Source organism: Homo sapiens, chromosome 12 (assembly GCF_000001405.40).
Source record: "Homo sapiens chromosome 12, GRCh38.p14 Primary Assembly".
Classification (NCBI taxonomy): Eukaryota; Metazoa; Chordata; class Mammalia; order Primates; family Hominidae; genus Homo; species Homo sapiens.
In genome coordinates this window covers 63,627,682-63,644,569 of record NC_000012.12, presented here as the reverse complement: position 1 = coordinate 63,644,569, position 16,888 = coordinate 63,627,682, and the positions used below count along the sequence as shown (strand labels likewise).

Sequence of the window (16,888 nt, the reverse complement as noted above, 5' to 3'; positions counted from 1 at the left end):
ACTGAGATAATTATGCCCAATTGCCTTAGAGTCATATATTCATTAAACACTGATTATCTGTATCTTTTCAAAGGATTGGGAGATCCTGCTTGCTTTTATGTTGGTGTAATCTTTATTTTAAATGGACTAATGATGGGATTGTTCTTCATGTATGGAGCATACCTGAGGTAAGACTACTACTGAATTAAGAGACCTTTCAGTGGGCTTTTACAGACTGGCTGATATTTGTTGATTAAATGAAAAGGAAAATTAATGAGATTAGATTCATATCAGGAAAGTTTGTGGATTTACTTGATTTTTCAGAAGCTTAACCAATATCATGTAACCAGAAACTGGAGATGTCACTAAAATTCTATCTCAAAGTCATCCCTTTTATTCTGTTGTTTAAACAGATTTCCTAACAAAGGCTTTAATGGAATATCTCCTAGTTCATGTGTAAAATTAATAAAACATTGGAGGAGATCTTTGGTTAGCAGTAGTAGCAGCTTATTTCTAATTGTATTCTCTAAGGATGAAATTAAGAAAGCAGTAGGAAAAATTGTGAATCACATGTGGCAGGCACTTACATCTGCTAGCATGTCTATCTTGATAAGAGTACCACGATGAAGCAGCAGCGAGACCAGTCTCAGGTGATAAGTTGAAATTAATTTCAACGGTCGTGTGTTTTGCCCCCACACTTAATTGCTCCCTGAGATAGCCATATCAGCTAGTTTTTGCCAATGAAAACTAAGTTGAGTCAGTTTTGGTTACATCCAGTAAAGTATCTGCCTTTCTCACAAAAGGACAGACTTAGCTGCCCCTTCTCTGTTTCTTCCTGCTTTTATTACACTAGGATGTCATGCCCAGAGCTGTAGCAGTCATCTTGTGACCATAAGGGAAAGGTCATAAAAATAGCAGATATATCTGGCCTACCATCCTTCTGCTGCTGAACCAATGCCAACAGATGCTTATCTTTCATTTTCTTGTTGAATGATACAATAAACAACATCCATATTGTGTAAGCCACTTTTGTTAGGTTTTCTGTTTCTTTCAGTGGAGCGCATTCCTAGCTGAATCATCAGGTTTCTTTACAATGTTATTCTTGTCATGCAAAACATTTAAAATTAAAATTAAAATTAATTGATAGCTTTAGTCTTTCAACAAATATTTATTGAGTTTTCATGGGGCTTATGTCAATATAGAGATTAGTAAATATACACACTCTTTGTTTTAGGAAGTTCTCAGCATAAAAAAGACTAGCATAGAATCAATGAAAACTAGTGACATAGTCAGTGTTGTGCCAGGAATACTATCCAGCACGGTACATAAAAAGAAAAGTAGTAATAAGTATAAGGATTGGAAAACTTGAAAAAAAAGAAATAAGTGTTCTTAAAAGTAGATTACATCATGTATCTAGAAAAATTTTAAAAGTTTATGGATACAGTATTTGCAATAATAAGAAAATTTACAATGTTACTAGATGTAAGCATTAATATTTAAACTCAAAATTATAAATTTTATACTTTAGCATCAAATAGAAAATGAAATTTTGAAAGGATGCTATTTGGAATAGCATTAAAAGCATGATATTCCTCAGAATAAATCCAACAAAAGATACATATGACAGCTATGGGAAAATGATTAAAACATTCCTGAGATATGTCTAGGAAAATCTAAGTGGAGAGATATTCCACGTTCATTGATTGAAGACTTGATATTAAAAAGCTTTATAGATTCAATGCTCTACCAGTCAAAATTCCAACATATTTTTTGTTGACTTTGATGAGCTGATTTAAAAGTTATTCAAAAATGCAAAGGGCCAAATACAGTCAAGGTATTCTTGAAAAAGGAGGATTTGCACTATCAATTGTTGCTGTATTATGAAGCTAATGTAAAAAGACACTATGATATTGGCACAGCAATAGACAAATAGATAACTGCAATAGAGTAGAGCCCAGAAGCAGAAATGTACATTTAAAGGCATTTGATATATGGAAGAGTGGGTATCGCAGATTGGTGAGTAAGGACAGGCATTTTAATAAATAGTGCTGGAATAATTGGGAGATCATATGGAGCAAGGAGATACTGGAACTATATAAGTAATACATCCAAGTTGGATTAAACACTCAAATATGAAAGACAAATTTATAAAATGTTCAGCGTATAATATAGAAAAAGTCACTTGGAATAAGAAGTGATTTCATAAACAAGATAAAAAAATCCAGTCATGAAGAAAAACTAATAAATTTGATGAAAAGAACTTCAGTTCCTCAAAAGAATTGTAGGATAAAAAATAAACCACAAAGTGAGTGAAGATATTTACAAAGTATATACCCCACCTACTATCCAGAAATTTCATTCATTAATTTGATAAATATTTATTGAAAGACTGTTGTGACCAGGAGCACTGTTCTAGGTGCTTGGAATACAGGACAGAGATCTCTGTCCTTGTGAAGTTTATATTAGAGTGGGAAGATAAAGAAGAAAGACAACCTGATAGAAAAATGGACAAATTGTTTATGAACTGATATTTCCCAGAAGAACACCAAATGGTCAATAAACATATGTAAAGTTGTCCACCATCATTAGTCATAAAGAAAATACAAATTCAAACCACAGTGAAATACCAACTCACATCTAATAGATTGATAAAGGAGCTTTCATCCACCACAGGTGGACATATAAATTGGTACAACTATTTTGGTAAACAGTGTACATTATCTGATAACATTCAAGATATAGATACCTTGTAACTCAGTAATTCTAATTTAAAGTATATATTCCCAAAAAAGTCTTGCATGTGTGTACTGGGAAGTACATACAATAATATAGTAGCATTATCTGCAATAGCTTCAAACTGGAAACAACCCAAATATCCATTAACAGAGAAATGAATACATTTTGGTTTATTAACATGGTGGACCAGTATACAATAATGAGAATGAATGAACTATACAGCTACACACAACATGGTTGAATCTTACAAATATAATTTTGAATGAATGAATCCAGGTACAAAATTAAAAAAAATACTCCATACTTCCATTTGTATTGTTTAAAAACAGATTAAAGTAAATCATAGTTTGATATGTATATAGAAATGGTTATGTTGATAATCTCAAAAATCAGGTCAGTAGCTGATTCTTATCTTGGAGGCTGGCAAGTGGAGACTCAGTATAATAATTTCTCTATTTCAGTTAATTATATGGCGACTACATGGACGTTCCTTTTACAATAGATCTATGAGCTAGAAATGTTATGCACTTTTCTATGTGCCATATAGAAAAAATATAAGCTCATTAAAGTATTTTGAGGGAAAAGGATTCCTTTGAGATTGTTTGGGCAGCTTTAAAAATGTTCTATTTTTTTAAAAAAGTTCTGTTTTTGGGCTGGGAGCAGTGGCTCACTCCTGTAATCTCAGCACTTTGGGAGGCCGAGGCGGGCAGATCATGAGGTCAGGAGATCGAGACCAACCTGGCTAACAAGGTGAAGCCCTGTCTCTACTAAAAATACAACAACAACAACAAAAAATTAGCCGGGCGTGGTGGCGGGCGCCTGTAGTCCCAGCTACTCGGGAGGCTGAGGCAGGAGAATGGCGTGAACCTGGGAGGCAGAGCTTGCAGTGAGCCGACATTGCGCCACTGCACTCCAGCCTGGGCGACAAAGCGAGACTCAGTCTCAAAACTAAAAATAAATCAATAAATAAATGAATAAATAAGTTCTATTTTTGAAAATGGTTTGTATTTCTTATCTTTTTTGTTTTTTCATATGGAAAATGTTACACAACAATGACTAAAATTTAAAAAATCAGTATATTTCATTAGGAGGGCTACCGAAGAGGTGCTAGTCTCTCTAAATTGGTTATATAGTCCTGGAATATAAAATACAATATTAGGCTCTATCTAGTCTTTAAGAAGGATATACAGAGTCAACCAATAGTGACTGTAGAGGTGTCATCAAAACTGTGAGGATATTGGAAACTGGCATTTGAGGAACAAAAGAAATAGAAATTTGGGGAAAACTTTTGTATTTGTTACCATGGCTACCCTCCCCACTGACACTAACTGGGAAGGTAGATATTCCGCTTCTATTCTTTTGGTGGCTAACCATAAAATTTTAACATACAGATATGATTTGTTCAAGTATAAAATACATTGATATCTTTCCCCTTCTTCCAATCAAACAAGGAATCTTGGAATGCTTTTCTTCAAAATATCCTCTCGTATCTTTTTTTATTATTATTATACTTTAAGTTCTAGGGTACATGTGCACAACGTGCAGGTTTGTTACATATGTATACTTGTGCCATATTGGTGTGCTGCACCCAATAACTCGTCATTTACATTAGGTATATCTCCTAATGCTATCCCTCCTTCTTCCCCCAACCTCATGACAGGCCCCGGTGTGTGATGTTCCCCAAACTGCGTCCAAGTGTTCTCATTGTTCAATTCCCACCTATGAGTGAGAACATGTGGTGTTTGGTTTTCTGTCCTTGGGACAGTTTGCTCAGAATGATGGTTTCCAGCTTCATCCATGTCCCTACCAAGGATGTGAACTCATCATTTTTTATGGCTGCATAGTATTCCATGGTGTATATGTGCCACATTTTCTTAATCGAGTCTATCATTGTTGGACATTTGGGTTGGTTCCAAGTCTTTGCTATTGTGAATAGTGCCACAATAAACATATGTGTGCATGTGTCTTTATAGCAGCATGATTTATAATCCTTTGGGTATATACCCAGTAATGGGATGGCTGGGTCAAATGGTATTTCTAGTTCTAGATCTTTGAGGAATTGCCACACTGTCTTCCACAGTGGTTGAACTAGTTTACAGTCCCACCAACAGTGTAAAAGTGTTCCTATTTCTCCACATCCTCTCCGGCACCTGTTGTTTCCTGACTTTTTAATGATTGCCATTCTAACTGGTGTGAGATGGTATCTCATTGTGGTTTTGATTTGCAGTTCTCTGATGGCCAGTGATGATGAGCATTTTTTCATATGTCTGTTGGCTGCATAAATGTCTTCTTTTGAGAAGTGTCTGTTCATATCCTTCATCCACTTTTTGATGGGGTTGTTTGATTTTTTTCTTATAAATTTGTTTAAGTTCTTTGCAGATTCTGGATATTAGCCCTTTGTCAGATGGGTAGATTGGAAAAATTTTCTCCCATTCTGTAGGTTGCCTATTCACTCTGATGGTAGTTTCTTTTGCTGTGCAGAAACTGTGTAGTTTAATTAGATCCCATTTGTCAATTTTGGCTTTTGTTGCCATTTCTTTTGGTGTTTTAGTCATGAAGTCCTTGCCCATGCCTATGTCCTGAATGGCCTAGGTTTTCTTCTAGGGTTTTTATGGTTTTAGGTCTAACATTTAAGTTTTTAATCCATCTTGAATTAATTTTCGTAAAAGGTGTAAGAAAGGGATTCAGTTTCAGCTTCCTACATATGGCTAGCCAGTTTTCCCAGCACCATTTATTAAATAGGGAATCCTTTCCGCATTGCTTGTTTTTGTCAAGTTTGTCAAAGATCAGATGGTTGTAGATATGCAGCATTATTTCTGAGGGCTCTGTTCTGTTCCATTGATCTATATCTCAGTTTTGGTACCAGTACCATGCTGTTTTGGTTACTGTAGCCTTGTAGTATAGTTTGAAGTCAGGTAGCGTGATGTCTCCAGCTTTGTACTTTTTGCTTAGGATTGTCTTGGCAATGCGGGCTCTTTTTTGGTTCCATATGAACTTTTAAGTAGTTTTTTCCAATTCTGTGAAGAAAGTCATTGGTAGCTTGATGGGGATGGCATTGAATCTATAAATTACCTTGGGCAGTATGGCAATTTTCACGATATTGATCCTTCCTATCCAGGAGCATGGTATGCTTTTCCATTTGTTTGTGTCCTCTTTGATTTCGTTGAGCAGTGGTTTGTGGTTCTCCTTGAAGAGGTCCTTCGCATCCCTTGTGAGTTGGATTCCTAGGTATTCTCTTTGAAACAATTGTGAATGGGAGTTCACTCATGATTTGGCTCTCTGTTTGTCTATTAGTGGTGTATAGGAATGGTTGTGATTTTTGCACATTGATTTTGTATCCTGAGACTTTGCTGAAGTTGCCTATCAGCTTAAGGAGATTTTGGGTTGAGACAATGGGGTTTTCTAGATATACAATCATGTCATCTGCAAACAGGGACAATTTGACTTCCTCTTTCCTGATTGAATACACTTTATTTCTTTCTCTTGCCTGATTGCCCTGGCCAGAACTTCCAACACTATGTTGAAAAGGAGTGGTGAGAGAGGGCAACCCTGTCTTGTGCTGGTTTTCAAAGGGAATGCTTCCGGTTTTTGCCCATTCAGTATGATATTGGCTGTGGGTTTGTCATAGATAGCTCTTATTATTTTGAGATACATCCCATCAATACCTAGTTTATTGAGAGTTTTTAGCATGAAGGACTATGGAATTTTGTCGAAGGCCTTTTCTGCATCTATTGAGATAATCATGTGGTTTTTGTCTTTGGTTCTGTTTATATGATGGATTACATTTATTGATTTGCGTATGTTGAACCAGCCTTGCATCCCAGGGATGAAGGCCACTTGATCATGGTGGATAAGCTTTTTGATGTGCTGCTGGATTCGGTTTGCCAATATTTTATTGAGGATTTTTGTATCAATGTTCATCAGGGATATTGGTCTAAAATTCTCTTTTTTTGTTGTGTCTCTGCCAGGCCTTGGTATCAGGATGATGCTGGCCTCCTAAAATGAGTTAGGGAGGAGTCCCTCTTTTTCTTTTGATTGGAATAGTTTCAGAAGGAATGGTACCAGTTCCTCTTTGTACCTCTGGTAGGATTGGGCTGTGAATCTGTCTGGTCCTGGACTTTTTTTGGTTGGTAGGCTATTAGTTATTGCCTCAATTTCAGAGCCTGTTATTGGTCTATTCAGGGATTCAACTTCTTCCTGGTTTAGTCTTGGAGGGTGTATATTTCCAGGAATTTATCCATTTCTTCTAGATTTTCTAGTTTATAGTAGAGGTGTTTATAGAATTCTCTGATGGTAGTTTGTATTTCTGAGTAATCGGTGGTGATATCCCCTTTATCATTTTTTATTGTGTCTATTTGATTCTTCTCTCTTTTCTTCTTTATTAGTCTTGCTAGCGGTCTATCAATTTTGTTGATCTTTCCCAAAAACCAGCTCCTGGATTCATTGATTTTTTAAAGAGTTTTTTGTGTCTCTATCTCCTTCTTTTAATTGTGATGTTAGGGTGTCTATTTTAGATCTCTCCTGCTTTCTCTTGTGGGCATTTAGTGCTATAAATTTTCCTCTATACACTGCTTTAAATGTGTCCCAGAGATTCTGGTATGTTGTATCTTTGTTCTCATTGGTTTCAAAGAACATCTTTATTTCTGCTTTCATTTCGTTATGTACCCAGTAGTCATTCAGGAGCAGGTTATTCAATTTCCATGTAGTTGTGTGGTTTTGAGTGAGTTTCTTAATCCTGAGTTCTAGTTTGATTGCCCTATGATCTGAGAGACAGTTTGTTATAATTTCTGTTCTTTTACATTTGCTGAGGAGTGCTTTACTTTCAACTATGTGGTCAATTTTGAAATAAGTACGATGTGGTGCTGAGAAGAATGTATATTTTGTTGATATTGGGTGGAGAGTTCTGTAGATGTCTATTAGGTCCGCCTGGTGCAGAGTTGAGTTCAATTCCTGGATATCCTTGTTAACTTTCTGTCTCGTTGATCTGTCCAATGTTGACAGCGTGGTGTTAAAGTCTCCCATTATTATTGTGTGGGAGTCTAAGTCTCTTTGCAGGTCTCTAAGGGCTTGCTTTATGAATCTGGCTGCTCCTGTATTGGGTGCATATATATTTAGGATAGTTAGCTCTTCTTGTTGAATTGATCCCTTTACCATTATGTAATGGCCTTCTTTGTCTCTTTTTATCTTTGTTGGTTTAAAGTCTGTTTTATCAGAGACTAGGATTGCAACCCCTTTTGTTTTGTTTTGTTTTGTTTTCTGTTTGCTTGGTAGATCTTCCTCCATCCCTTTTTTTTGAGCCTATGTGTGTCTCTGCACATGAGATGGGTTTCCCGAATACAGCACAATGATGGGTCTTGATCTTGATCCAATTTGCCAGTCTGTGTCTTTTAATTGGAGCATTTAGCCCATTTACATTTAAAGTTAATATTGTTTTATGTGAATTTGATCCTGTTGTTATGATGTTAGCTGGTTATTTTGCTCGTTAGTTGATGCAGTTGCTTCCTAGCATCGATGGTCTTTACAATTTAGCATGTTTTTGCAGTGGCTGGTATCGGTTGTTCCTTTCCATATTTAGTGCTTCCTTCAGGAGCTCTTGTAAGGCAGGCCTGGTGGTGACAAAATCTCTCAGCATTTGTTTGTCTGTAAAGGATTTTATTTCTCCTTCACTTATGAAGCTTAGTTTGGCTGGATATGAAATTCTGGGTTGAAAATTCTTTTCTTTAAGAATGTTGAATATTGGCCGCCCCCCCTTCTGGCTTGTAGAGTTTCTGCCAAGAGATCAGCTGTTAGTCTCATGGGCTTCCCTTTGTGGGTAACCCAACCTTTCTCTCTGGCTGCCCTTTACATTTTTTCCTGCATTTCCACTTTGGTGAATCTGACAATTATGTGTCTTGGGGTTGCTCTTCTTGAGGAGTATCTTTGTGGCATTCTCTGTATTTCCTGAATTTGAATGTTGGCCTGCCTTGCTAGGTTGGGCAAGTTTTCCTGGATAATATCTTCAAGAGTGTTTTCCAATGTGGTTCCATTCTCCCTGTCACTTTCAGGTACACCGATCAGCCGTAGATTTGGTCTTTTCATATAGTGCCATATTTCTTGGAGGCTTTGTTTATTTCTTTTTACTCTAAACTTCTCCTCTCGCTTCATTTCATTCATTTGATCGTCCATCACTGATACCCTTTCTTCCACTTGATCAAATCGGCTACTGAAGCTTGTGCATGCGTCACATAGTTCTCATGCCTTGGTTTTCACCTCCATCAGGTCATTTAAGGTCTTCTCTACACTGTTTATTCTACTTAGCCATTCATCTGATCTTTTTTCAAGGTTTTTAGCTTCTTTGCGATGGGTTCGAACACCCTCCTTTAGCTTGGAGAAGTTTGTTGTTACCGATCGTCTGAAACCTTCTCTCAACTTGTCAAAGTCATTCTCCTTCCAGCTTTGCTCTGTTGCTGGCAAGGAGCTATGCTCCTTTGGAGGAGAAGAGGCACTCCGGTTTTTAGAATTTTCAGCTTTTTTTCTCTGGTTTCTCCCCATCTTTGTGGTTTTATCTCCCTTTGGTCTTTGATGATGGTGACGTATAGATGGGATTTTGGTGTGGGTGTCCTTTCTGTTTGTTAGTTTTCCTTCTAACAGTCAGGACCCTCAGCTGCAGGTCTGTTGGAGTTTGCTGGAGGTCCACTCCAGACCCTGTTTGCGTTGGTATCAGCAGTGGATGCTGCAGAGCAGTGGATATTGGTGAACAGCAAATGTTGCTGCCTGATCATTCCTCTGGAAGTTTTGTCTCAGAGGAGTACCCGGCTGTGTGAGGTGTCAGTCTGCCCCTACTGGGGGGTGCCTCCCAGTTATGCTACTCGGAGGTCAGGGACCCACTTGAGCAGGCAGTCTGTCTGTTGTTAGATCTCCAGCTGCGTGCTGGGAGAACCACTAGTCTCTTCAAAGCTGTCAGACAGGGACATTTAAGTCTGCAGAGGATTCTGCTGCCTTTTGTTTGGCAACGTCCTGCCCCCAGAGGTGGAGTCTACAGAGGCAGGCAGGCCTCCTTGAGCTGCGGTGGGCTCCACCCTGTTCGAGCTTCCTGGCTGCTTTGTTTACCTACTCAAGCCTCAGTAATGGTGGACGCCCCTCCACCAGCCTCACTGCCGCCTTGCAGTTGGATCTCAGACTGCTGTGCTAGCAGTGAGTGAGGCTCCATGGGCATGGGACCTTCTGAGCCATGTGCGGGATGTAATCTCCTGGTGTGCCGTTTGCTAAGACCGTTGGAAAAGTGCCGTATTAGGGTGGGAGTGTCCGGATTTTCCAGGTACTGTCTATCACGGCTTCCCTTGGCTAGGAAAGGGAATTCCCCAACCCTTTGTGCTTCCCGGGTGAGGTGATGCCCCACCCTGCTCCGTGGGCTGCACCCACTATTGGACAAGCCCCAGTGAGATGAACCCAGTACTTCAGTTGGAAATGCAGAAATCACCCGTCTTCTGTGTCGCTCGTGCTGGGAGCTGTAGACTGGAGCTGTTCCTATTCAGCCATCTTGGAACCTCTCTCCATCCTTTCATATCTTACATGTTATTACCATCATTTAGTACTCCTGTTACCCCTCACAGCTGCCATCATTATTATTTCTGTTGTCAAATCTTACTTTGATTATTTTTAATTATACTTTAAAATTTAGGGTACATGTGCACAACGTGCAGGTTAGTTACATATGTATGCATGTGCCATGTTGGTGTGCTGCACCCAGTAACTCATCATTTAACATTAGGTATATCTCCAAATGCTATCCCTCCCCCTTCCCCGCACCCTACAATAGGCCCCGGTGTGTGATGTTCCCCTTCCTGTGTCCATGTGTTCTCATTGTTCAATTCCCAACTATGAGTGAGAACATGCGGTGTTTGGTTTTTTGTCTTTGCGATAGTTTGCTGAGAATGATGGTTTCCAGCTTCATCCATGTCCCTACAAAGGATGTGAACTCATCATTTTTTATGGCTGCATAGTATTCCATGGTGTATATGTGCCACATTTTCTTAATCCAGTCTATCATTGTTGGACATTAGGTTGGTTCCAAGTCTTTGCTATTGTGAATAGTGCCACAATAAACATACGTGTGCATGTGTCTTTACAGCAGCATGATTTATAATCCTTTGGGTATATACCCAGTAATGGGATGGCTGGGTCAAACGGTATTTCTACTTCTAGATCCCTGAGGAATCACCACTCTGACTTCCACAATGGTTGAGCTAGTTTACAGTCCCACCAACAGTGTAAAAGTGTTCCTATTTCTCCACATCCTCTCCAGCACCTGTTGTTTCCTGACTTTTTAATGATCGCCATTCTAACTGGTGTGAGATGGTATCTCATTGTGGTTTTCATTTGCAGTTCTCTGATGGCCAGTGATGATGAGCATTTTTTCGTGTGTCTATTGGCTGCATAAATGTCTTCTTTTGAGAAGTGTCTGTTCATGTCCTTCACCCACTTTTTGATGGGGTTGTTTGTTTTTTTCTTGTAAATTTGTTTGAGTTCATTGTAGATTCTGGATATTAGCCCTTTGTCAGATGAGTAGATTGCAAAAATTTCTCCCATTCTGTAGGTTGCCTATTCACTCTGATGGTAGTTTCTTTTGCGTGCAGAAGCTGTGTAGTTTAATTAGATCCCATTTGTCAATTTCGGCTTTTCTTGCCATTGCTTTTGGTGCTTTAGTCATGAAGTCCTTGCCCATGCCTATGTCCTGAATGGTAATGCCTAGGTTTTCTTCTAGGGTTTTTATGGTTTTAGGTCTAACGTTTAAGTCTTTAATCAATCTTGAATTAATTTTTGTAAAAGGTGTAAGGAAGGGATCCAGTGTCAGCTTTCTACATATGGCTAGCCAGTTTTCCGAGCATCATTTATTAAATAGGGAATCGTTTCCCCATTGCTTGTTTTTGTCAAGTTTGTCAAAGATCAGATGGTTGTAGATATGCAGCATTATTTCTGAGGGCTCTGTTCTGTTCCATTGGTCTATATCTCAGTTTTGGTACCAGTACCATGCTGTTTTGGTTACTGTAGCCTTGTAGTATAGTTTGAAGTCAGGTAGTGTGATGTCTCCAGCTTTGTTCTTTTTGCTTAGGATTGTCTTGGCGATGCGGGCTCTTTTTTGGTTCCATATGAACTTTTAAGTAGTTTTTTCCAATTCTGTGAAGAAAGTCATTGGTAGCTTGATGGGGATTCCATTGAATCTATAAATTACCTTGGGCAGTATGGCCATTTTCACGATATTGATTCTTCCTACCCATGAGCATGGAATTTCTTCCATTTGTTTGTATCCTATTTTATTTCATTGAGCAGTGGTTTGTAGTTCTCCTTGAAGAGGTCCTTCACATCCCTTGTAAGTTGGATTCCTAGGTACTTTATTCTCTTTGAAGCAATTGTGAATGGGAGTTGCCTCATGGTTTGGCTCTCTGTTTGTCTATTAGTGGTGTATAGGAATGGTTGTGATTTTTGCACATTGATTTTGTATCCTGAGACTTTGCTGAAGTTGCCTATCAGCTTAAGGAGATTTTGGGTTGAGACAGTGGGGTTTTCTAGATGTACAATCATGTCATCTGCAAACAGGGACAATTTGACTTCCTCTTTTCCTAATTGAATACCTTTTATTTCCTTCTCCTGCCTGATTGCCCTGGCCAGAACATCCAACAATATGTTGTATAGGAGTGGTGAGAGAGGGCATCCCTGTCTTGTGCCAGTTTTCAAAGGGAATGCTTCCAGGTTTTGCCTATTCAGTATGATATTGGCTGTGGGTTTGTCATAGATAGCTCTTATTATTTTGAGATATGTCCCATCAATACCTAATTTATTGAGAGTTTTTAGCATGAGGGGTTGTTGAATTTTGTCAAAGGCCTTTTCTGCATCTATTGAGATAATCATATGGTTTTTGACGTTGGTTCTGTTTATATGCTGGATTATGTTTATTGATTTGCGTATGTTGAACTAGCCTTGCATCCCAGGGATGAAGCCCACTTGATCATGGTAGATAAGCTTTTTGATGTGCTGCTGGATTCGGTTTGCCAATATTTTATTGAGGAATTTTGCATTAATGTTCTTCAGGGATATTGGTCTAAAATTCTCTTTTTTTGTTGTGTCTCTGCCAGACTTTGGTATCAGGATGATGCTGGCCTCCTAAAATGAGTTAGGGAGGATTCCCTCTTTTTCTATTGATTGGAATAGTTTCAGAAGGAATGGTACCAGCTCCTTCTTTTACCTCTAGTAGAATTGGGCTGTGACTCTGTCTGGTCCTGGACTTTTTTTGGTTGGTAGGCTATTGATTATTGCCTCAATTTCAGAGCCTGTTATTGGTCTATTCAGAGATTCAAATTCTTCCTGGTTTAGTCTTGGGAGGGTGTATATTTCCAGGAATTTATCCATTTCTTCTAGATTTTCTAGTTTATTTGCATAGAGGTGTTTATAGTATTCTCTGATGGTAGTTTGTATTTCTGAGTGATCGGTGGTGATATCCCCTTTATCATTTTTTATTGCGTCTATTTGATTCTTCTCTCTTTTCTTCTTTGTCTTGCTAGCGGTGTATCAGTTTTGTTGATCTTTCCCAAAAACCAGCTCCTGGATTCATTGATTTTTTGAAGGGGTTTTTGTGTCTCTATCTCCTTCAGTTCTGCTCTGATCTTAGTTATTTCTTGCTTTCTGCTAGCTTTTGAATGTGTTTGCTCTTGCTTCTCTAGTTCTTTTAATTGTGATGTTAGGGTGTCAATTTTAGATCTGTCCTGCTTTCTCTTGTGGGCATTTAGTGCTATAAATTTCCCTCTACACACTGCTTTGAATGTGTCCCAGAGATTCTAATATGTTGTGTCTTTGTTCTCGTTGGTTTCAAAGAACATCTTTATTCCTGCCTTCATTTTGTTATGTACCCGGTAGTCATTCAGGAGCAGATTATTCAGTTTCCATGTTGTTGAGCAGTTTTGAGTGAGTTTATTAATCCTGAGTTCTAGTTTGATTGCACTGCCGTCTGAGAGACAGTTTGTTATAATTTCTGTTCTTTTACATTTGCTGAGGAGTGCTTTACTTCCAACTATGTGGTTAATTTTGGAATAAGTGCGGTGTGGTGCTGAGAAGAATGTATATTCTGTTGATTTGGGATGGAGAGTTCTGTAGATGTCTATTAGGTGCGCCTGGTGCAGAGCTGAGTTCAATTCCTGGATATCCTTGTTAACTTTCTGTCTCGGGGATCTGTCTAATATTGACAATGGGGTGTTAAAGTCTCCCATTATTATTGTGTGGGAGTCTAAGTCTCTTTGTAGGTCACTCAGGACTTGCTTTATGAATCTAGGTGCTCCTGTATTGGGTGCATATATATTTAGGACAGTTAGCTCTTCTTGTTGAATTGATCCCTTTACCATTATATAATTACCTTATTTGTCTTTTTTGATCTTTGTTGGTTTAAAGTCTGTTTTATCAGAGACTAGGATTGCAACCCCTGCCTTTTTTTGTTTTCCATTTGCTTGGTAGATCTTCCTCTGTCCCTTTATTTTGAGCCTATGTGTGTCTCTGCATGTGAGATGGGTTTCCTGAATACAGCACACTGATGGGTCTTGACTCTTGATCCAATTTGCCAGTCTGTGTCTTTTAATTGGAGCATTTAGCCCATTTACATTTAAGGTTAATATTGTTATGTGTAAATTTGATCCTGTCATTATGATGTTAGCTGGTTATTTTGCTCGTTAGTTGATGCAGTTTCTTCCTAGCTTTGATGGTCTTTACAATTTGGCATGTTTTAGCAGTGGCTGGTACCAGTTGTTCCTTTCCATATTTCATGCTTCCTTCAGGAGCTCTTTTAGGGCTGGCCTGGTGGTGACAAAATCTCTCAGCATTTGCTTGTCTGTAAAGGATTTTATTTCTCCTTCACTTATGAAGCTTAGTTTGGCTGGATATGAAGTTCTGGGTTGAAAATTCTTTTCTTTAAGAATGTTGAATATTGGCCCCCACTCTCTTCTGGCTTGTAGAGTTTCTGCCAAGAGATCAGCTGTTAGTCTGATGGGCTTCCCTTTGTGGGTAACCTGACCTTTCTCTCTGGCTGCCCTTAACAGTTTTTCCTGCATTTCCATTTTGGTGAACCTGACAATTATGTGTCTTGGAGTTGCTCTTCTCGAGGAGTATCTTTGTGGCGTTCTCTGTATTTCCTGAATTTGAATGTTGGCCTGCCTTGCTAGACTGGGGAAGTTCTCCTGGATAATATCCTGCAGAGTGTTTTCCAACTTGGTTCCATTCTCCCCATCACTTTCAGGTACACCAATCAGACGTAGACTTGGTCTTTTCACATAGTCCCATATTTCTTGGAGGCTTTGTTTGTTTCTTTTTATTCTTTTTACTCTAAACTTCTCCTCTCGCTTCATTTCATTCATTTGATCATCCATCACTGATACCCTTTCTTCCAGTTGATCGAATTGGCTACTGAGGCTTGTGCATTCGTCATGTAGTTCTCGTGCCTTGGTTTTCAGCTGCATCCGGTCCTTTAAGGACTTCTCTGCATTGGTTATTCTAGTTAGCCATTCGTCTAATTTTTTTTCAAGGTTTTTAACTTCTTTGCCATGGGTTCTAACTTCCTCCTTTAGCTCAGAGTAGTTCGATCATCTGAAGCCTTCTTCTGTCAACTCGTCAAAGTCATTCTCCATCCAGCTTTGTTCCATTGCTGGTGAGGAGCTGCGTTCCTTTGGAGGAGGAGAGGCACTCTGATTTTTAGAGTTTCCAGTTTTTCTGCTCTGTTTTTTCCCCATCTTTGTGGTTTTATCTACCTTTGGTCTTTGATGATGGTGACGTACAGATGGGGTTTTGGTGTGGGTGTCCTTTCTGTTTGTTAGTTTTCCTTCTAACAGTCAGGACCCTCAGCTGCAGGTCTGTTGGAGTTTGCTGGAGGTCCACTCCAGACCCTGTTTGCGTGGGTATCAGCAGTGGATGCTGCAGAGCAGTGGATATTGGTGAACAGCAAATGTTGCTGCCTGATCATTCCTCTGGAAATTTTGTCTCAGAGGAGTACCCGGCTGTGTGAGGTGTCAGTCTGCCCCTACTGGGGGGTGCCTCCCAGTTATGCTACTCGGAGGTCAGGGACCCACTTGAGCAGGCAGCCTGTCTGTTGTTAGATCTCCAGCTGCGTGCTGGGAGAACCACTAGTCTCTTCAAAGCTGTCAGACAGGGACATTTAAGTCTGCAGAGGATTCTGCTGCCTTTTGTTTGGCAACGTCCTGCCCCCAGAGGTGGAGTCTACAGAGGCAGGGAGGCCTCGTTGAGCTGTGGTGGGCTCCACCCTGTTCGAGCTTCCTGGCTGCTTTGTTTACCTACTCAAGCCTTGGCCATGGTGGGTGCCCCTCCCCCATCCTCGCTGCCGCCTTGCAGTTGGATCTCAGACTGCTGTGCTAGCAATGAGGGAGGCTCCGTGGGCATAGGACCCTCCGAGCCAGGTGTGTGATATAATCTCCTGGTGTGCCGTTTGCTAAGACTGTTGGAAAAGCGCACTGTTAGGGTAGGAGTGACCCGATTTTCCAGGTGCCTTCTTTCACCCCTTTCTTTGATTAGGAAAGGGAATTCCCTGACCCCTTGCGCTTCCTGGGTGAGGCAATGCCTTGCCCTGCTTTGGCTCATGCTCGGTGCGCTGCACCCACTGTCCTGCACCCACTTTCTGACAATCCCCAGTGAGATAAACACAGTACCTCAGTTGGAAATGCAGAAATCACCCGTCCTCTGTGTCGCTCATGCTGGGAGCTGTAGACTGGAGCTGTTCCTATTCGGCCATCTTGGCTCCACCCCTCACCAACTCATCTTACTTTGATTTATCCACATTTCCCCAGTTCCTCCATTGACAATTGGTCCTTGCTACTCACACATTCTTTCTTTCAATTTCTTCCTCTTTGAAGTTCATCCTTTGTATTTTCTGAGTGAAACTTTATTAAATGGTAAATCATTTCCCATGAGCTTTCCTCTGCTGTTTTCTTCCTTTCTTCATTAATTCAACCAGTATTTATTAATCTTCCAAGTGTGAAGCTGGGGATATAGTAATGAACAAGACAGATAAAGAACCTGTCCCTGTCCTCATGGTGCTTAGAATGTGTTAGGCTAGGGAAGTGGTGTATGGAGGGAAGATAAATGGAAGCATAGAAACGCTACACAGATGTGGGATTGAGCATCTGCATTCTCATACACAGACATG

At 39.7% G+C, this 16,888-nt stretch overlaps 1 protein-coding gene across 25 annotated transcripts in view; it reads left to right on the top strand.

Moving 5' to 3' along the window:
• Positions 1-16,888, top strand: part of DPY19L2 (dpy-19 like 2) — a 109,893-nt gene that overhangs the window by 24,236 nt on the left and 68,769 nt on the right. For 24 of the 25 annotated variants that reach the window (XM_047428722.1, XM_011538215.3, XM_024448947.2 and 21 more), the window contains one exon: positions 74-167. In XM_047428722.1, the coding sequence (XP_047284678.1) occupies positions 74-167 (94 nt within the window). Of the gene's footprint in view, positions 1-73; positions 168-16,888 lie in introns of those variants that run through there. The other variant, XM_047428728.1, reaches the window with a different exon arrangement.